Source organism: Homo sapiens, chromosome 12, assembly GCF_000001405.40.
Source record: "Homo sapiens chromosome 12, GRCh38.p14 Primary Assembly".
Lineage (NCBI taxonomy): Eukaryota > Metazoa > Chordata > Mammalia > Primates > Hominidae > Homo > Homo sapiens.
Genome location: NC_000012.12, coordinates 52777960 through 52799543, shown reverse-complemented (window position 1 = coordinate 52799543; position 21584 = coordinate 52777960). Strand labels below are relative to the sequence as shown.

Genomic DNA, 21584 nt, shown 5'->3' with positions numbered 1-21584 from the left:
ACGAAAGCTAGATCCTTGAAGACCTTCCTTGGGTCAGGGTGGGGTCTTGCTGGCCTGGGCAAGTTAGGAGATTTGATGAATCGCCTTCCATGGGGATCCTGAAGAGTAGGAGTGGCCAGGTGAATTCTGCCTCGAGGTAGAGGAGTGGACTGGAGAGCCTCCTGGCCGTAGCACCCTATGAGTCTCGATTTTACACATTGCAATCCAGTGACTCACTCTTTTCTCCAGGGAGTAAACACTTAGGGCGCTTAGTTAATAAACTTCAGATAATTCAAGTGTTGGGGATGACTGTAAACCAACTCTGTTTTCTCAAAGTGTTTATTAGGCCCTACAAGTTTAGAGGGATGGGCCCAACCAATAAGAATTTCAACTCACTGATTATCTCCTCCCCTTCCACCACTTCCTTCACTCACAGCTCTGATCAGAATTGACAATCTAGTCCCACGAATGTATTCCCCAATCTTTGTTTTGCTCCCTGTCCTCTCAAAGGTCAAGCCATGTCTTCTCTGCTATCCCAACCCCAAGAGTAAGTATAGATTATGCCCTTCTTCCTTTTTCTTCCACCATCTGCTGGGGAGGTCCCCGACCCAGGACTAGCTGATGACAGCAGTGGTTGTGATGTTGCTTCTCAAAGATTCTTCTCCAAGATAATTCCCTCTAAAGGAATGACAAGCATGGCTCAGAATCAGTGGGCTCTGGCAATGACTAAGATCTCCCCCCATTGGGGCACTAAGTACCCTGAATCACTATGGGTTTAGGAATTCCTAGAGACTCATTGCCCTGGACTCTAGACCCCACACCAGACCAAGCAGCAGCCTCATTTCTGTCTGGCATAAAGGCAGGTCCTCCATCCTGCTCTCTTAGATATTATAAGGAAAAATATGGTCTAATTTTTGTGATATGTTTCCTTTTTTCTTTTTCTTTTGTTGAGAAGGGTCTTGTTCTGTTGTCCAGGCTGGAGTGCCATGGTGCAATCATAGCTCAGTGCAGCCTTGACCTCCCAGGATCAAGTGATCCTCCGACCTTAGCCTCCCAAGCACCTGGGTCTACAGGCACATGACACCACACCCGGCTAATCTTTGTATTTTTTTCATAGAGATGGTGTTTTGCCATGTTTCCAAGGCTGGTCTGAAACTCCTGGGCTCAAGCAATCTGCCCACCTCAGCCTTGCAAAGTATTGGGGTTACAGGCGTGAGCCACCACATTTGGCCTTGTGATATGTTTCTTAAAACACTGGCAGATATTTCATTCATCTAGCTATGTTCCTGTGAGATCTAGAGGGTCAGAGATGATTGATCATCTTTTATGGTTAATGATGCTGAAATGCAGAGAATTTAAATAGCTTTGGTCATGCTTAGTCATGGGGAGGATCTGGTCTAGCCCTGGGTTTGGTTCATTGCCTTTGAGGGAGCAAAGAGGAGAGGAGCCTGTGTGGCCACACTCTAGGCCTGGGCTAACTTCACAGTCCATGGGCAGAACTTGCAGAAAATTAGGGATATAAGTCAGAGATGCTGGAGAGGGGATCCCAGCAATGAACGGGGCAGATTGTGTGACCTCAAATGTCCAGTCAACTTCAACTTGATTCTGTAATTGATTGATTCTTGATTGATTAGTTCTTGATTCTGTGATTCTACATTTTTTTCCCCTGAGGAGGTGACACTCATTTTGCATGTAAATTTTTCTAAATCTGAACACCAAATTTGAGAAGTCTGGATTCCTCACATTGAAATAATCTCAATTAGCTTGTGCTACCTCATGCAATGGGAGTTGAACTAGCTTTCAACCAGTTTTATCTGGTTGTAATCCAGTATAAGGGCTTAACCATTAGTCATTAATAATTAATTGATGGACTAATTCATTTTTTCAACAAACCAAACTTTATGGCACTTACTATTGGCAAAGCACTGTGCTTTGGTTCAAGGCACCCAGTATATTAACAAGACTGGAAACTCCTGGAGAGCTTATGGTTTTATCCTGGGGAGGAGCTAGGATGTTGCACAGCCTGGCAGGTAACACATGGGAGAGATAAGGATAAAATGGAAGAACCAGGCCACTGAAGAAAATTGTACTTCCTTTGCACTTGGGCCACTCCCAGCCCTACCCAGTGGGTGTTGAAGAAGTCTCTATCCTTTCCCCCAATTCTAAGGAGGCTCCTGCCAGGGCCATACAGACCACACCCTTAGAAGGGCCCAATGTGCAGCAGACAGAACAAAAAAGGCCTGTCCTGGAGAGATAAGCAGCTAACTTGGCCAGCTCCAGAGTGTGCAGGATGGCTTTCTTTTGGACAAACCAAGCCCAGTCATAAGCCTCTGAACAACCCCAGACAGGGAGAGTTTCAGGCTTTCGGAGTCAGACATATTCCATAGTGCTGCCGGCTCTGCCAGATCTGGCTTTCTGGGGTTTGTGAGGGGGCATGGGCGACTCTCAGGAGCACATCTCTCAAACAGAAAATGGTCCCACAGGGGCCCTGTGTGTCTTGTCCATGACTGGGTCTCCAGAGTTTTGCAAAGGGCCTGGCACACATTTGGCAGTCTGTAAATATTTGCTGAATTTGTTGTTGACTTGACATTTGAATTTCTTGTTCCCTAGGCCTTAAGCTAAAACCAGAGAAAGGCCAAAATGTGGGGAGCAAGAAAGGAAGCCATAGATAAACCCCAAGATGTGTAATAGTGTATAATTTCTCTGGGAAGTTTTAAAGAGAAACAAACATTAGGCATGTTGGATTTTGCCAGTGTCTGCTCAACATACATAGGTGTTAACTTGACTTTTTCTCCAAAGATAGTCATAAACCAAAAGGTCACTACCTCCTGAACTAAAGCTTGGGGTACAGGGAGAACCCAGGAGGCAGATTTGTGATAGTTCTGGGCTTTTTTCCAAGAAGGGAGAAGGAGAGGTCAGCGCTTCATCCCAAAGGCCAGCGTAGAGCTGGGCACATACTGTGCACTCAGTCATTGTGGAGAGACCTGCATCACTCCTTCCATTAAGATACTTTCCCAGAGCTGTGAGTGGGCTCCACTGTCTCCACTACTCAGAGAAGCAGAACCTCCCCACACCTCCTCCACTCTATCCTCTCCAGAGCTGGGCACCGCTCTGCAGGGCCCAGGTGCAGCTAATAGGCAGAGGGATGGCTGCTGAGCACCTGATGCAGGTGAGCGTGCCTCCTGGGTCCTGTCAGACAGAGCTAGGAGGAGGCCATGCCCAAACATGGGGCAACACCAGGCACCACCCCCTCACCAGGTAAGCCTGCCACCTTAGCACTTTTACCATTTCAGCTTATTTTCAAGGTGTGTTTGGTAGCCTGGAACAAACTTATTGCCTTGGAGGCAAACCCAGCCCATGAATATTTGGGATTAATTATCTCTCCTTCGTTTGAGCCCAACAACCTCCTCAAATGTATATAAAGGGATTTATTTTGCACAGGTCTTCATTTCCCATCCCTCTTCCTCTGACTCTCAGTGTCCCTGCTTAACTTACACTCTTCTCTTCGCCAAGCTCCTTACCATGAGCAGACAAGCCAGCAAGACATCTGGTGGCGGGAGCCAGGGTTTCTCCGGCCGCTCTGCTGTGGTCTCCGGCAGCAGCAGGATGAGCTGTGTGGCCCACTCTGGGGGAGCTGGCGGAGGGGCCTATGGCTTCCGGAGCGGAGCAGGTGGCTTTGGCAGTCGCAGCCTCTACAACCTGGGCGGCAACAAGAGCATCTCCATCAGCGTGGCAGCTGGCGGCTCCCGGGCTGGAGGCTTTGGGGGAGGGCGGAGCAGCTGTGCCTTTGCAGGTGGCTATGGAGGTGGCTTTGGGAGCGGCTATGGAGGTGGCTTTGGTGGTGGCTTTGGTGGTGGCAGAGGAATGGGAGGTGGCTTTGGTGGAGCTGGTGGCTTTGGAGGGGCTGGTGGCTTTGGAGGGGCTGGTGGCTTTGGTGGTCCTGGTGGCTTTGGTGGGTCTGGTGGCTTTGGTGGGCCTGGCAGCTTGGGCAGTCCTGGTGGCTTTGGCCCTGGGGGCTTTCCTGGGGGAATTCAGGAAGTGACTATCAACCAGAGTCTCCTGCAGCCCCTCAATGTGGAGATCGACCCCCAGATTGGGCAAGTAAAGGCCCAGGAGCGGGAACAGATCAAGACCCTCAACAACAAGTTTGCCTCCTTCATTGACAAGGTAATGAAGCTTTGACTGGTCATCCCTTCCTGGGCTGGGGACTTTGAATTTGACCTTTGGGACACAGTGTTTAAATGTTTCTTGGATAGGCCAGACTGGAGGGTGAGGAGTTAGGTGGAACTCTAGGGTCTGGGAAGATATCCAGGGTTGAGGAGTTTGTCTACATGGTCAAGTGAGGGGAGGTGTAGAAAGAAAACAGTCCCCTATTTGGACCTGAGCACCACACATCCTGTTTGTGGGAACCCCTGCTGAAGTTTCCAGTCATTGCCTCATTGAGGCCCAGGCTGGCAGGGCAGGCAGCCCAAGGCAAGGGCCACAGCCACCATCAGCGAAGGGTCCACCAAGAATGGGAGGCTTTTCAAATACAAGCTGCCCTCTGAGGCTTTCCAGGAAGCCCTTTCCCCCTCATATTGCTGTGCCAGGCAGAGGAGGCTGATTACCTGGAGCAGGGATTAAGAGCATAAGAACCTTAGTTAGTCCCAAGGGAGCGCAGAGAAATGAGTGACTTTGCACTCCTACTCAGCCTAGTCAGGAAGACAAGAGTGCTCGGTGAGCTTCTCCAGACCAGGACAGTTCTCATGGGGCTGCCTCCCCTCCAGGCCCAAGAGAGGTGTTGTCATGCTAACTGTGGCATGCCAGCCAGTGTTGCTTCCCAGCTTCCCAGCATCACTTCACTGTTTTTGAAGAGCTAGCATGTCAGTAGAGTCGTGGGTGGAAATGGTGCTGCTGAGGTTTATGTGCATTTTTGTAGAGTGTACTGTGGTTTTGGAAGTTAAGATAGGGTCATGAAGTTCCCAGGAACAACAAGCAATAATTCTATTGCTTTCAGGTAGGAGCTACTTCCCCTTCCTTTGTAACTTTCCAAACCACGCTGCAAGTGTAGTGTCCTGACTCATCACCCATCTGATCATAATCTCTCTGACTACAGTAGGAGCCTATCTTTGCATCTTTTCTAGGCCTTTGTGCTGGGGGCCCAGGAGATAGACACCTAGTCCTACCTGAGTGAAGGCCCCTCTGCTCCTCTGCTACAAGTGTTGCCTGATGTTGCTTCCTGCAACCATTGCAGGTGCGGTTCCTGGAGCAACAGAACAAAGTCCTGGAGACCAAGTGGAACCTGCTCCAGCAGCAGGGCACAAGTTCCATCTCAGGCACAAACAACCTTGAGCCTCTTTTTGAGAATCACATCAACTACCTGCGGAGCTACCTGGACAACATCCTCGGGGAGAGAGGGCGCCTGGACTCTGAGCTGAAGAACATGGAGGACCTGGTGGAAGACTTCAAGAAGAAGTGAGTGACAGGGCAGGAGTGGGAAGATGCCATGGCCCACCCTGTCTCAGAGTCTTGGCCCCTTCTACATGCCCCCTGACTGCTGGGCAGTGGCGTCTCCTGGCCCATTTCCCTCTCCTTACCTTCATGAAGGACAGCTTGGTTCATTCAGTTCCCCCTCACCTTCCTTCTCCAAGCATGGTGCTTTGCAAATAAAATTGTGGCAAGAGGATGAGTTTAGGCTGGGCTTGGTGGCTCATGCCTGTAATCCCAGCACTTTGGGAGGCCGAGGTGGACAGATCATTTGAGGTCAGGAGTTCAAGACCAGCCTGGCCAACATGGCGAAATATCATCTCTACTAAAAATACAAAAATTAGCTGGGTGTGGTGGCACACACCTGTAATCCAAGATAGTCGGGTGGCTGAGGAAACAGAATTTCTTGAACCCTGGAAATGGAGGTTGCAGTGAGTCAAGATTGTACCACTGCACTCCAGCCTCGGTGACAGAGCGAGACTATGTCTAAAAAAAAAACAAAAACAAAAAACGGATGAGTTTAGAGTTGGGGAAGCATTTCCTCATGAGCCAGGTTGGGGAAGATCCTGGTTCTGGCATGTGAAAGATTCTGGGACAACTCATGGTATGGTGATCAACCATCCAGAGGTTTGCCTGGGACTGAGGGGTTTCCTGGGATGCAGAAATTTTAGTGCTAAAACCAGACAGTTTGCCTGGGCAAATTGACTTGGTTGGTCCCCCAACTAACAGGGAGATAGTAAAGAGGATGTGCTCATCTGAGAGGGGCAGGATAGGGATGGAGGGAGGGAAGAGATGAACTTTCAGAGTTCCAGGGAACAATGGTGTTTACGATGACCTCAAAACCAAACTCAGCTGTTTCTTTTTTATTCACACAGATATGAGGATGAAATCAATAAACGTACAGCTGCTGAGAATGAATTTGTGACTCTGAAGAAGGTAAGGGCTGTGTGTGAGGTTTCTGAGGCTTGCAGCTGCAGGTTTCTGGCTGGGTTGGGGGAATCTCCTCACTCCACTGCCACAGAGCTGCCAAGTTCAGGCCTTTGGAGCAATAAACAGAAGTCAGGTGCACCTTAGTCTGGAAGATCCCTAAAAGAGTTAGTTCATCAGTCTTTAGTTTTTTAGTAGGATTAAACTTAGACCATCCTAATGAGATACAAATTGCCCGTTCAAGTGGAGACTGGTCTTAGACAAGGACCATCACTGCACCAGTCCCCTCTGCTCTTTCTTGCTGCAGTTGTGGTTTGCTGTTTGTTCATTGGGAGAATAAGGCCTTTATCTTCCTCTTTTCTCAGGATGTGGACAGTGCCTATATGAACAAGGTGGAGCTTCAGGCCAAAGTGGATGCCTTGATAGATGAGATCGACTTCTTAAGGACCCTCTACGACGCTGTAAGGATGTTACCTACTAAGAAGGGACAGAGGGAGAGTGAGGTGTTTCCAGATTTGAGGCTGGTGCATTTTGGTATATAGGCCCCAGAAGACATCTGGAATGAGCCTGGAGATGAGGACCCTTGGAAGGGATTCCACAGGATAAGCTGCAGACATGGGGTTCTCTGAGTGGCTGCGGACAGGGTGTGGCTGATACACATGTGGAGCAAGGAATCAGTGAATGAGACTGTTGATCAAGAGTCTTTCAGGGCCCTGTGTGCTTGTTACAGGGACCCCAAAAGTGAACAAGCTCCCTCTGTGTTGACAGGAGCTATCTCAGATGCAGAGCCACATCAGTGACACATCTGTGGTGCTGTCCATGGACAATAATCGCTCCCTGGACCTGGACAGCATCATTGCTGAAGTTCGTGCACAGTATGAGGATATCGCTCAGAGAAGCAAGGCCGAAGCTGAGGCCCTGTACCAGACCAAGGTGGGTGCTAGTCACCTCTTACGGGATCCACTGGAGGTTTCAGAGAGGCCATGGCCTATTGGACAGCTGGGTAGTGAGTTCCCAGTGGTCACTGGGTGAATGCCTTTTGGTTTTACCCTCTGAAGTCATCCTTCTAATGGTGGTTCAGTTGCAGAAAGTCTTGCCCCTGGGGGAGATGGTTGCCTGCTATGTGGGACTGACTCCAACTTGCTCAGGAACTACAGGGTAGGAAAATCTTCTACCACAACAACCCAGATGTTCTCTTTCCTGCTGCCTTGGGGGTTTCCCTGCTGAAACACAATGCAGTATCATTTTAGCAAATGCCTTACTGAGCTTCTGAAGGTTTGGTGGGTGATGTTGGAGGTGTAGAAACAAGTCAAGCAAAGCTGCAGGAATACCCCATCTTCCCTTCTGTTCTGCAGTTGGGGGAGCTGCAGACCACGGCTGGCAGGCATGGGGATGACCTAAGAAATACCAAGAGCGAGATCATAGAGCTCAACAGAATGATCCAGAGGCTGCGGGCAGAGATCGAGGGTGTCAAGAAGCAGGTGGGATGGTCATGGATGCTGGCACCTGGGATGATTGCTGAGGGGCAGGGGCTAGGATCTCAGGACTCCTCCCCTGGAATAGACGTCTGGAGGTCATCTCAGGCTGGCTGACCCACAGGGCAGTATCTCCACAAATGGAGACAAGATGGAGGCACTAGGGGAGGAGGAATGTTCCCTGACTTTAAGATGGGATAATCCATTGCATGTCAGGAAGGGCCTGGGGCCCTCTTACTGAGCTCATTCCTCCTACCTCCCTTGCCCCAGAATGCCAACCTGCAGACGGCCATTGCCGAGGCCGAGCAGCATGGAGAGATGGCCCTCAAGGATGCCAATGCCAAGCTCCAAGAGCTGCAGGCTGCTCTACAGCAGGCGAAGGATGACCTGGCGCGGCTGCTACGTGACTACCAGGAGCTGATGAATGTCAAGCTGGCCCTGGACGTGGAGATCGCCACCTACCGCAAGCTGCTGGAGGGCGAGGAGTACAGGTGAGCCTCCAGTCCCGTCTTCCCACACCCCCTGGCTCAAGTCATAGGCCAAGGGCCAGATAAGTGACCAAGTAACTGGGGATGGAGCCCTGCTGTATAAAGAGAGGCCTTGTGGTGAAGCATTTGCCTCTACCAGCCCACTCCCTCCCAGGGCACGTATGCAACCAGTGCCCACAGGCTCTCCTTGCTACAGCCCAAAGAGGGGTGGAGAAAGCTTACCTGATTTGCCAGGCTTCTCTGTTCAGCTCTGGTTGCTATTCATGCCCTTGGTCCGTGGACTTGTTGGTGATGTGCTTTGTGACGGGGCCCACTTTCTCTTGCTTTCTCAAACAGGATGTCTGGAGAGTGTCCGAGTGCTGTCAGCATCTGTAAGTACCGAAAGTAGCTAAGAAAATGAGAGTTAATTCTGAAATATCTGCACTAATCCAGGGTAGTAGCAACTAATTTAAACATATTTTTACGGAAGTTGGAGGGGTTTTCTGGGAGAGGAGAGGGAAGTGATTGGCTTTTGTAATTGTTCTGGGTTCAGGGCACTTTTAATAGGCTTCGACGGCCAATGTGGAATATCCAACAGGGGGCCTCTTGATAGGAGGATAAATTCAGACGCTAGATCCCCTCCAAGGGGGTCATCAAGACTGTACTGTGGGAGGAACCACTGGCTAATTCATAATGGCTTAACGGCAGGGGAGTGAGTAGCTAGTGGCCTTGGAACGGCTCGTGGTGAACATCCTGTGCAAAGCTGCCTTGATCAGCTCTGGATAGTCGTGGGCCCGGTGGATCATTGACAATAACATAGCAGCTGGCCTGGGCGCCGTCGCTGATCGCTGTCCTGTCCTCTCCCCCACAGCCGTGGTCAGCAGCAGCACGACTTCCGCCTCCGCAGGTGGCTATGGAGGAGGTTACGGCGGAGGCATGGGCGGTGGTTTAGGAGGTGGCTTCAGTGCGGGCGGCGGCTCAGGCAGTGGCTTTGGCCGGGGAGGCGGCGGTGGAATCGGCGGTGGATTTGGCGGCGGCAGCAGCGGTTTCAGCGGTGGCAGCGGCTTTGGCTCCATCTCTGGCGCCCGCTATGGAGTCAGTGGCGGGGGCTTCAGCTCGGCCAGCAACCGGGGCGGCAGCATCAAGTTCTCCCAGTCCTCCCAGTCCTCCCAGCGCTACTCCAGATAAAGAGCACGCATCAGCATCGCAGCCACTCCAGCGCCTCCCCTCCGCTCCCCACGCCCCCATATTGGCAACACCCCCAGCGCCACCCCATGCTCCCCAAGAACGCGGCTCTGCGCTGGAAGGCTTGTGGCCTCTTGCTCCTCCTTCCAGATCCCCGGCCAAGCCCAGTCACGAGAATTTCAGGCTCTTCTCTCCGGCTCCAGCCTGTGCCTGTGATTGTCCAGGTGTGGCCTAGGCCGCCACCTTCTGCTGCCCCGGAGTCCCCTCCCTGGGTGGGATGCTCACTACAGCTCTGATGTATATAGCACACAGCCCCCTCCGCCCCTCCGGTCTGTCGCCAATAAAGTGCACTGTGTTTCACTCCGGGCCTCTGAGTATTCGCTCCATGTCCTTCTCCTTAGGGCACTGAGCTCCCTGGTCACCTCCCTGGCCTCCCTGCCTCTGCCTCTCCCATGTGGGCTCTGTGATCCACAGAGCAGCTGGAGAACTCTTCCTCTGAAACAAAGGCAGTTCGTCTTCTCAGTCCATGGTGCGGATCCGGTTGTTCATTATTCTGTGAGCACCGTGGGGAGGGAGAGGTCCTGCTCCCCGACGCTGTTGTACCCTGTGTACCCTTACCGTCCTTAGTGGTGAAGGCTGGCCCATGCAGACATCTGTCTCCTCCCTGTCTTCTCTCATGTGGGGGAACTAAGAGGGCCTTGGGGACAGAGGGTTTCTTCCCTTGGTGTTGATTCTCACTCCAGCTGACATCGTGAAAGCTTTTCCCCCATCAAGGTGCTCCGGGAAAGTGCGGGCTGCTGGAAGCCCAGGGATGGAAATAGGCCCCAGAGCAGCCTATGTCAAAGTCTGACCCAGGAACACCATTCCATTGAGACACTCTGCAATAAAAGACTCCACGCCCATTACATCTTTTCTTTTTGGAGCACATATTAGAGTTTCTAAGAAGTTCAGTAGCAAGGAAAACCTGTTAGCTTCCTTGAATCCAACATTTCCTGCAGAGGCCCCCATTCCTGCACCTAGCACTGTGCATGCACTTGGGGCCTGAAAATAGGTGCACCAGCCATGAGAGTTCTTGTCATCCTGGCTTCTGCCCTGCACCAAGAAGCTCTGATAATGTGTTAGTTGGCCATGGGAGTGCTGTCCAGAAGGTGACTGCTGGAAAGGACTCAGAAGCAAGGAGTCCAAGGCCTTTGCTTCCAAATGAAAAGATTGAGGCTCAGAGAGGAGGGGTGACTCCTCCAGGGTCTTATAGCATGTGAATGCCTGAGCTAGGAATGAAGCCCTGCATCCCAAGTCCGGAGCTCCCTCCACTTCCCCACACTGTCTTCGAGGATGCCTTCCAGGCATGTCACACTGCCGGGGCACCCGGAGAGAACACACAGGCTGTGGAATAGAAATGTGTAGTCAGGCCAGGCCAGGCCAGGGAAGCAGTATTTCCATCCTTGGACAAGGCTGAATTTATTTTAGAGATGAGGAAAAGCAGTTAGATAAAGAAAACCTGCAACTGGGGGTTGAAGAGATTCAGCCTGGAAATCCAGCTACTGGATCCACTTTTTGAAGGAGGTGGGATTTAGGAGCTGTTGCTTCACATTTGGGTAGGAAGGTACCTTTTCTGGTTGGTATCCTTCTGTGGAAAGGAGTAGGAGACACAGGTGGGGAGGCTCAGTGCCCAACCCAGTTTAGGGGGCTCGCCCTATGGGACTGTGCCAGGCCAGTCATGGGGCAGCTGCTTCACCCTGGGCAAAGTCTTTATCAATGAATTCCTTCTTTCACTCATTCAACCAGTATTCATTAAGTGTTTATTTTCTGTCTGGAACTGGGCTAAATTCTGGAGACGAATTGGTGAGCAAGAAATCAGATGTTGACCCCACCCTCATTTTAGTAAGGGAGTCAACAAAAAAAGTAAGCAAACCAAATGAACACAATAATTTTAAGCTGTGGGAAGTATATAAAGAAATGAAACTAGAGGCTGAGTTGGATGGATGCCAGGACTGGTTAATGGACTGGATGGAGGTGGGGAGGTTAAGGGAAAGGGGAGATTCAACCAGGATGCCCAGTTTCCCAGTATGACCACTTGGGTGGTTGGTGGTGCCATTTACTGAGGTGAGTGGAGGGGTGGGAGGGCGAGATGGGTGTGGAGAGAAACTTCAGCTGTGCTTTAGAAAAGCAGGAGCTGCTCACGAGATAGCCACATGAGACATCCAGGAGAGATGTGAGCCTGTAGATTCAGAAGGGGGCCCCGTCAGGGCTAGACACTCGCATCTGGACATCATCAGCTTAAGGGTGGATTTTAAAGCCATGGAAACTAATGAGTTTTTCCAGAGAGAGGGTGGAGAAGAGGGCCCATGCTGAGAACCAAAGCAGACTTGAATGTAGAGTCAGGGACAGGAGTGCAATCAACCAGATGGTGGAGCCTAGGCCACGTTCTTCAGAGTGCCCCCACCCAAGCAGTCATGGGGGTTCTAAATTGGCTCCAAGGAAAGCCCAGAGCAGGCCTGGCCTTCCTGGGTACTATGCACACTGGTTTCAAGTCTCATGTTCAGACTGTGACCTCTGTCCTTTGCTGTTCCTCCCTGGACCTGTGCTCGCTGGCACTTGTTTCTCCTGTGGGGTTTACAGGAACCCCTGCTACCTAAGTAACAACTAGTGGTGAGGTGGTGGGATGGGGCTCCATGCAGCTTCTTAAAGGACAGCCTGGTACAGGAGGAGTGGGGTGGAGAGGCTATTTCTTGGAGATGTCATTGTTCCAGAGGAATGGCCAGGGCAGGTTACCTTGGTGCCAGGACCTAGGACCCAAGGAGTTAACTCCATGCTTGGCTGGATATTCTCAGCCCAGCACTGACTGTTTCTTTCTTTCTTTATTTTTTGAGATGGAGTCTCCCTATGTCACTCAGGCTGTAGTGCAGTGGCACTATCTTGGCTCACTGCAACTTCTCCCTCCTGGGCTCAAGTGATTCTTGTGCCTCAACCTCCTGAGTAGCTGAGATTATAGGTGCAAGCCACCAAGCCCAGCTAATTTTTGCATTTTTAGTAGAGATTGCCATGCTGGCCAGGGTGGTTTCTAACTCCTGACCTCAGGTGATCCGCCCGCCTCTGCCTCGCAAAGTGCTGGGATTACAGGCATGAGCCACCGCGCCCTGCCAGGCCCTGACTGTTTCTAATCCAGGCTGAAAACCCCTTGCAGGGAACTTCACCTGCTTCTCAGTGCTCCTTCTTTTCCTTTGCCTTAGCATTTGCATAGTTTTTTTGCACAATTCTATGTTGACTTTTCAAGAGCTCTTAAGTCACTGGGCTTGAGTTTGCTTTCTTGTACTTGACTAGACTTTTCATTCTTCTAGTACATAGTGAGTCCTGTGTTGTCCATGCTTTTCCTGTCCTCTAAGGCATACTTTTGCCCACAAAGAGCTCACAGTGATTGTTGAATAATGCCTACTTGTGAGCCTGGATCCTAAACTGGGATTTGGGGTCTTTGGCCAATGGTCAAGAATTTCTTTGCTCTCTCTTCCACATCTCTCTTTCCTGGGTGTGGAGAGGTATATCCACTTGCAATGAAAAAGAGGAATCAACTTCTTTTTTTTTCTTTCTTTCTTTATTATTATTATACTTTAAGTTTTAGGGTACATGTGCACAATGTGCAGGTTAGTTACATATGTATACATGTGCCATGCTGGTGCGCTGCACCCACTAACACGTCATCTGGCATTAGGTATATCTCCTAATGCTATCCCTCCCTCCTTCCCCTACCCCACAACAGTCCCCAGAGTGTGATGTTCCCCTTCCTGTGTCCATGTGTTCTCATTGTTCAATTCCCACCTATGAGTGAGAATATGCGGTGTTTGGTTTTTTGTTCTTGCTATAGTTTACTGAGAATGATGATTTCCAATTTCATCCATGTCCCTACAAAGGACATGAACTCATCATTTTTTATGGCTGCATAGTATTCCATGGTGTATATGTGCCACATTTTCTTAATCCAGTCTATCATTGTTGGACATAGAGGAACCAACTTCTACCCTACGCCTCTATCTATCTATCTATCTATCTATCTATCTATCTATCTATCTATCTATCATCATCTATCCCCTCCAACCACCCCCACACTGTCTTCCCCAGAAGAAATGCTCAAAAGAGTGTTTTCCTGTTCTAAGAGCTTGCGGACTCACTGGTTCACTTCCCATTAGGAAGACCAAGTTGTGTTTTTAGATTTCAGGTTTTCCTTCTATATCTTTGTGAGAATACAGGCTACATGTCAGAGCAAGTATCAGTGGTAACAGTGTCACACCTATGAAAGGCTCAGTTAAGGAAATCAGAGGGTTGTTTTCCACAAGAATTTGAAAGTAGTTCAGCGCTTGCCTATGGATAATCTAGACTTGACTGCTGATGATCAAGTTTTGCATGTAACGTTTTGTGTAATTTGCAGGTAAATCTCTACATGACTCTTCTCTGTTTTGCCTAGAACTGGGTGGAGTGTTTGTTAGCCAAGCATCAGAGATCTCACTTTCTGGGATTTGGACTGCCTCTTCTCTCTGCCTTCTCAGCACTTCAGCCCATGTGTATTCTCCCTCTATGCAAAGACAAAGACAAAGACAAAAAGTGTGGGAACCTTGAGATAATCTTGGGATGACCGAGAAAAACTCACTTAAGTTCTGAAAATGCTTCTTCACACATTTTATCTGAATCTTCACTACATCCTTCACAAGCCCTTCTGGCATACACATTGTCTAACACACATCTCTGTTGTGCCTAAGATAGAGCTAATCCCCATCAACACTTCCAGTCCAGGCTGAAGGCTGAAGGTGACTTGGCTCTCCTAGGGAACCATTGATGGAGGTGTGCTGGGAGAATCTGATACTTTTGGAATCTGTGGTGATGAGACTGAATGGTGACAGCTCCGTCAACCACTGGAGAAGACGGTGGCAGGAGAAGGTGACTCTAGGTGGAACTAATGCTGTGACTCTCAGTGGGGGCAATTTTGCTCCCCAGGGAACATATAGCAATGTCTAGTGACATTTTTGGTTGTCACAAGTCGGGGAGTGCTACTGGCATCTAGAGAGTAGAAGCCAGGTTGCTACTAAACATCCCACATCACACAAGCCAGCCCCCTTCAACATATAAACAGCCAGCCTCAAATGTCCACAGTGCCACTGCAGAGAAAGCTGTGCCAAACAAGAGGTCGTCTCATTCATTTCTCTCCTTGGGAGAAGATCTTTAGTTACAGTGATATGGGTTATAGTTGAACTGGATAGAGATCCTTGTGGATTTGAGGGAAGTATGTATTTGTAGAAGTTTTTTTTTTTTTTTTTTATGAGATGGAGTCTCGCTCTGCCACCAGGCTGGAGTGCAGTGGCATGATCTCAGCTCACTGCAACCTCCACCTCATGGGTTTAAGTGATTCTCCTGCCTCAGCCTCCCGAGTAGCTGGGACTACAGGTGCATGCCACCATGCCTGGCTAATTTTTTTTTTTTTTGTATTTTAGTAGAGACCGGCTTTCACCATGTTGCCCAGGCTGGTCTCGAACTCCTGAGTCAGGCAATCTGCCCGCTTCGGCCTCCCAAAGTGCTAGGATTACAGGCATGAGCCACCATGCCTGGCCGAAGTTTGTTTATTTTAAAACGGAAATGCCCTTTTATTCTGGATGAAGACATAGGAAAAAAGCCAAGGAAACAGTGTGGCCTTATGTGGAGACTTTCAAGACCTGTGCAAATGGCCTACAAGGTGCCTGCAGTTCTGGTATCAACCTGGCTTTCTCACGCCTCTGTGCCTTTGATGCTCTGTTCTCTGTCAGGAATGCTCATCCCGCCTTCACCCACTTGCCCTGCCTCACTCATCACTGAGGATTACCCAGGCACTGCCTTCTGAAAACCTTCCTAGACCCTCCATGGCACTGAGCATCTGTCTGGACTCCCATGGGACTTTGTCTATCCCTTTTTATCATGTGCCGTATTATATTAAAATGACTAGTTTCAGTGCCTGTTCTCCACATTAAGATAGAAGTTACTCGAAGGGATGGCTCTGCCTGATTCATCTTTGTGCTCCTCAGTGACCAGCAAAATGCCTGGCACATAGCAGGCACTGTGAGCTTCACTAAGCTAATGAGATTTTGAAAAGGGTAGGGTAGACTCTTAAAGATAATTACTGCCCTGACATATTTAACAAAAACAACTGGATTAAACAACTAACTTTTGTGACTAGTGCAAGTCATATTCTGGGCATTTTGCATATGTCATCTCATTTCATCCTTTGCAACTGCCATAAGAGGCAGGCGGCAATTATCCTCATTTTCTAGATGAGGACACTGGCTTGGAGAAGCAGAGTAACATGACTGATGGGAAGTGGCAGATCTGGCCTCAAATCCAAAGTGTACACATGCAACTACTGTGCTATGCTGCTGAATGGGGCCGGCTGGTGTCTTCTTGGATTCTAGGATGTCCTCCCTTGTATGTGGACTAACGACTTTCCATAGTTTTGAGCCAGAAACCAAACCTGAAGTTCCTACATTAGCAGACGAGATTTCTACAGCTAAGGCTCTGTGATGGTGAGCAGGCCCACGTTTAACTCTGGGGAGTTCTGATCTCCAGACAGAGAAGCCATTGAGATTGATTGGGAGAATACCTTGATAATGATGGGTGTTCCTCCTTGATGCCACAATGGAATTCACAAAGTTTAAAACTATTTTCATCAACACAAGTTGATGCTTCAAGGCAGATCTGACCATTACCTTCTAAGGTTGGGGTTTTTTTTTTTTTTTTTTTTTTTTTAACATGCAACACAAATGTATTATTTAAAGGTGCATCTTGATTACCTGTTTGGTGAGCAAAAACAAAATACGGTGGCTCATGCCTGTAATCCCAGTACTTTGGGAGGCCGAAGCGAGTGGAGCACCTGAGGTCAGGAGTTCAAGACCAGCCTGACCAACATGGTGAAACCCCGTCTCTACTAAACATTCAAAAATTAGCTGGGTGTGGTGGCAGGCGCCTGTAATCCCAGCTACTCGGGAGGCTGAGGCAGGAGAATCTCCTGAACCTGGGAGGCAGAGGTTGCAGTGAGCCTTGATTGTGCCACTGCACTCCAGCCTGAGCAACAGAGTGAGACTCCGTCTCAAAAAAAAAAAAAAAAAAAAAAAGTGAAAGAGAAGATTGTGGCTAATCATTCCTGTGGGCCAAGTGGTCAACTCCAACATCTAAGACCCAGCAAGCAGCTAAGCTCAGCGCAAACTCCTGGCCTCTTGCTCTTTCTCCAACAGGGTGAAGACCTTTTACATTGCAGATGATGGAGCGGCTCTTGTCATCTATAAATTCCATGCACACCCATGTGTTCTGTCCCTGAGAGACTGTCCTGACCAGTGCCTTGGTGGCCCTGGCTAGCATGGTAGGTTGCACATGGCTGGTGTCCAACCTATCATGTGGTGGTCAGGTGGAGAGAATATTGGTGGGTTCTTTACATGTCAAAGTGGACTTTTCACTTTGGGATGGTGTAATTTGACTTGCTGAAAGTCTATGCAGAAGAAAAGCATTCACGAATTTACGACAGGCTTTGGGATTGGACAGTCTGATTAAAATCCAAGCTTGCAAGTGAATTGACTTGAGGCAAGTTAATTAACCTCATGCCCTTATCTGTAAAATGTGAATGAAAATTCCTACCTTACAAAGTTTTTGTGACAATTAGAAATGACACATGTAAACAACCTGTCAGTGACTTGTATATGTTAGGCAGTCAATGTTAGCTGTTTTAAAATTCTATTCACAGATGGGCAATAGGAGTTAAGATTTGAAAGAGGAAATTGTTTTCACTGAAACATAGTCCCCACACCTCTAAAAAGTATGTAGTAGATCAATAAGTATTTGCTGATTGATAGATTGCATTACTGACGAGGCCCTGTAGTGGGAAAATGGCTTGGCCAGACATGGGAAAATGGCTTTTATGTAATTCTCAATACAGACAGTATGATTCTTTGCAACTTGTTGCAAAATAATCAAAGACTTCACTGTTGCCTTGACCCTAAACTGGGCTACCCCTTAGAACTCCTCCTTCCTCTTCAGCTTCCAAACTGACACCTTCTAGGAGGGCTTCCTACATTGACATCATCATCACAAGGGCTGCCAAGTGTTGAGCACCTGCTTTGTGTAAGGGTTTTCCAACTTTACCTCCTACAGTCCCCACTGCAACTCTATGAGGAGGCTGTGCTAACTCCCATTTGCTGAATGGGAAACTGAGGTCCAGAGGGTAAAATGTCTTGCCTGATGCCATGCAACTGGAAAGTGGCAAGGCTGGGATCTGAACACAGGCTCGTCTAATTCCAAGGCTTCCATATTTTCCACTCTTTCAAGCTGCAAGGGAAGAGAGGAGGAGATGAAGTTATTTGAGTTCCAGAAAATCCAGCATGCCCATGAAATATCCACGGTTTTTGGAAATATTCAGCCAAATCCATTTATTGGTGAGAAATATTCATTGACAGGAGAGCTTGTCTTTAGAGAACCTGTTCAGTTTTCGGCGTCCCAGTGCCCTTCTTGCTGCATCTTCAACCCCAGGCCTTAGTCTGCTCTCAGTTTCCTGCTATCTCACTTGGAGCAAGTGCTTTCTCTCCAGGGATGAGGAGCTCACTTGGAGCAAGTGCTCTTTCTCCAGGAATGAGGATGTCTCCTTATGCCCTAATCCTCTGATTGGTCTATCTGCACTGGTCTATCTGCACATTCTCATCCATCCTGGATGGCTAGTTGGACTAGCGTTTCCCGAGTATACTTGACAGCATGTTAGTAGATGTTAAGATAGAAAGATTTTGTTGTTAAATTTGGGAAGCTGTGATTAAATTAAGGCAAAGACATTATTTTCTATAGGACTTCTTTGGGCTTTTAATATACTAAACAACTTTACTAAAATCCCAGGAAAGAGCTATAGATTTTTCATTTCCCAAATTTATGTAATCACAGAACCTTTTAATCAGGGCCATCTTGGGAGATAGAATTCTGCCCTGCATAAGCCCTGGGAGAGATCCAAGTACCAGATAAAGAATGAGGGGTGAGCTGGTGTGTATTTTAATCAAGTGTAGAGATAAGACCAGAATCAGAACAAATTGTGGTTGCTAACAGCTAAGACCTTAGTAACATAAGGACTTAGTTGTACTTAGATGTTTGCTTCTTTATCAAGCTTTCACTATAAATCTTGCTCTATATGGTAATTATTTTTACTGTTCATTGGTTAAAATTGCTTCACTAGTGACAAGCTTTTATTTCAACAAGAAAAGAATGCTAATTCCTAGTCCAGGGGCAGCATACCCAGAACGTTAATTATTCTTTTTTTATTTTTGAGAACAAATTGGTGATTATCTTGAAAATGGGATCTGCGAACCTCCATGGAGAAAGAGGCAGCAGCCATGGCTCCCTCATCCTCAGCAGATGGTGGTGGAGAGGGATGACTGCTCACTTTGGCCAAGGATAATGACTACTGTCTCATGATGCATTCCTCCACTCATAATTATGTTACAGGCAATCTGAAGTCTTCTCACTGCAGTTGACTACCAGAGAGCAATTTGGTTAGAGGGAATAACTCCTTGGTTTTAGTGCCCCCAATTTTATAGGTGGGGAAATAAAAATCCAGGGTGCTCAGCCATCTGGCAAGCTTTACACAGAATGTTCTGGCAGTGAGGGATTGGAACTCAGATTGCTGGCAGTAGGCAGACCCTTTAGATACTGTTCTGAAAGATCCTACAGTGAATGAGGGCAATGTTGGTGAGGATAGCAACTCTGGGTATTTCCAGCAGCTCCATTCAACTGCTGAGAAGACAATCCCCATCTGCTAAATAAGGTGATGCTTTGGCAGGCTCATGCGACATGGATTAGGCGACCCAGCCCAAACCCGCGCTTTTGTGATCTGTGCATCACCTTTCTCCACCACGCTTCTCCAGCCTAGGCCAGGGTGGCAGAGGTGAGCCACACATCAGAGGCTGCCACCCACCACCTCAGTACTGCAGCCAAGGGAGGGAAGGGAATCAGAGACATTTATGTCTGTTCTTGTTTGCTTCGGACTCTCACCTGGAGCTTCAGCTGAGCCTGGCTCAGCTTTCTTTCCAGGAAGAGCATGTGATCTTCTGCTTTTAAAGGATCCAGAGGATATGAGGAAAGACCTTACCAGGAGGGGCTGTCATTCAATTGATGGGTGGAGTATAAATGTCTCATGGAAGAACTCAACATGAAATCCTCTTCCTGGATTATCTGTGGATGAATGATGTTAATTTAAAAATCCAAACATATATTGCTGAATACTATGTATTTAAATTTCAAAACAATCCTGCAAGTAGGATCAATGCCACCTTTTAAAAATAAGGAGAGAGAGAAGTCAAGTACCTTGTCCAAGGTCACCACATAGTGAGAGGTAGACATAGGATTTGAACCCAGGTCTTTGGAATTCCATGATGATGACAGGTTTTCTGTTATACCACAGCTATCTTACTCCTGTGTGGAATTTTGTGATTTTCAAAGGACTTTCACTTACATTATCCTGCAAGTCTCACCACAAACCAGTAAGGTAGGAAAGTGTTTGGCAGATTAGAACACAGACTTACGTTAAATCGTGGCACAAGGTCACCCAACCCAACCCTAGTCAGTATAAGTCTCAGTCTTTTCTATCCCAAGTTGGGTTTCTAATTCTTCACTCCTATTCAGCCTCCTTTCCTCACCTTTGGTGAGCTTCTTAGGGATGCAAAGTTGTCTTGAGAACAGCCAGGGCCAAACATGTTATTGCTTCTCCATTCCCCCAAATAGAGTACTGGCAAGTAGCTAAACATATAGTGCTTGCTATGTGTCAAGCACTGGGCTAAGCATTTTATATTTACTTAACTTGTTTAATGCTCACAACAACCCCATAAAGTACTTGCCATTCTTAGCCCCATTTTACAATTGATAAAGCAGACACATAAAAGTTAAGTAACTTGTCCAAGGCCTAAAAGTTGGTGGATAGTGGATCTGGGATCTGACGCCAGATAAGCTGCAGAGCAGAGAGCTGAGAATTAGCTGCAAAGCTCTTGAAGTCACTCAACTCAAGGTGGTTCCAAGGTTCTCAGACCAATTCTCTCCCCTAGACTGGACTGTTCAGAAACCAGAAACTCAGAAAGACAGAGCGCCCACTGCCAGTTTGGCTGGAATTCTGGAGATAGACCCCCCACCAATTTCTCAGGGAGTCTAGAATCAGTGCCACCTGCTCCTGTCATATGTGTGAAATCTCCTATGCAGACGACAACCTGAGGATTTGGTCTTGCCCTGTGTGGTGTGTTTGGGTGCGGAGGTGGGTTGGATGGGGTTTGGGGTCTGCTGAGCTCTTGGCAGTGACAGCAGTAACTCATCATGTGTCATTCGTTCTGCCATCAGGGGTCCTCCATCCTCCTATTCCTGGCCCATATGGTGTAGCCATGGTCTAGACCAGGGTTTCCCAGACTTTCCGCATTATAAGAATGACCTGGAGGGCTTGTTAAAAATGCAAACTCTCAACCCTTTCCTCTGAAGATTTTCATTCATAGGGCTGGGGTGGGAGCTGGTTTTAGGTATTTGCATTCTTAGACATCAGTCATCAGTCAGTTAACACGTTTGTGCTGTGCTTACCCTATGCTAGGAGCTGGACATTTAGGATAATTTAGAATGGGCAGGACTCAAGCCTTGCCCTCAAGAAGCTCAGGGACCGGAGGGGTATGGACAAGTAAGCAGGTAAGTATACTTTATGTCAGGTTCACGATGGGAAAAGTACAGGGTATGGTGGGAAGACAAGGAGGGGCATCTGACCCAGACCAGGGGGTAAAGCAGGGAGGGGATCCCCTCCAGAAGATCTGAGTTGGGGCCTAGACACAAGATACACTGTCCTCCTAAGATGAATGGGGTGCTTGAGCCGACTCTACCAGCCAGCTGGAGGGTTACCAGATTCTGTCTCCTCTTGCTTCTGGGTCCAGAAATTGCCTGCTGTCAGTCTAGGATGGTGGGGGGAGGGCTTGGTCTGAGGCTCTCCACAGTGCATGCCCCCTCTTCTTCCCAAACCTCATACTTGTTTGCTCCCTGTTCCAGGAGCTAGACGTGTTTACCTCCACTGTAATTTCTTCCCCAT

General features: G+C 48.4%; 1 protein-coding gene across 1 annotated transcript, besides 1 other annotated feature; it reads left to right on the top strand.

Annotated features, from left to right (window-relative positions):
* KRT3 (keratin 3) lies at positions 3427-9859 on the top strand. Its single transcript, NM_057088.3, has 9 exons — positions 3427-4146; positions 5213-5433; positions 6321-6381; positions 6738-6833; positions 7141-7305; positions 7728-7853; positions 8118-8338; positions 8672-8706; positions 9186-9859. Exons 1-9 carry the CDS (start codon positions 3502-3504, stop codon positions 9500-9502), a joined length of 1887 nt encoding a protein of 628 aa, NP_476429.2. The 5' UTR covers positions 3427-3501; the 3' UTR covers positions 9503-9859.
* Positions 7639-8838: an enhancer, noted in NCBI's record as "BRD4-independent group 4 enhancer chr12:53184490-53185689 (GRCh37/hg19 assembly coordinates)". NCBI's record gives its function as "activates an origin of replication core promoter dependent on BRD2, P300/CBP, MED14 and CDK7 cofactors, and independent of BRD4, by STARR-seq in HCT116 cells {active_cell/tissue: HCT116}" and the evidence as "EXISTENCE:reporter gene assay evidence [ECO:0000049][PMID:35650434]".

Bases quoted from the DNA above. Each gene is read 5' to 3' on its own strand.
- KRT3 (NM_057088.3), top strand. From the start codon at position 3,502: ATGAGCAGACAAGCCAGCAAGACATCTGGTGGCGGGAGCCAGGGTTTC. The intron at 4,147-5,212 runs GTAATGAAGCTT...CAACCATTGCAG, and splicing joins TTGCCTCCTTCATTGACAAG to GTGCGGTTCCTGGAGCAACA. The intron at 7,306-7,727 runs GTGGGTGCTAGT...TCTGTTCTGCAG, and splicing joins AGGCCCTGTACCAGACCAAG to TTGGGGGAGCTGCAGACCAC.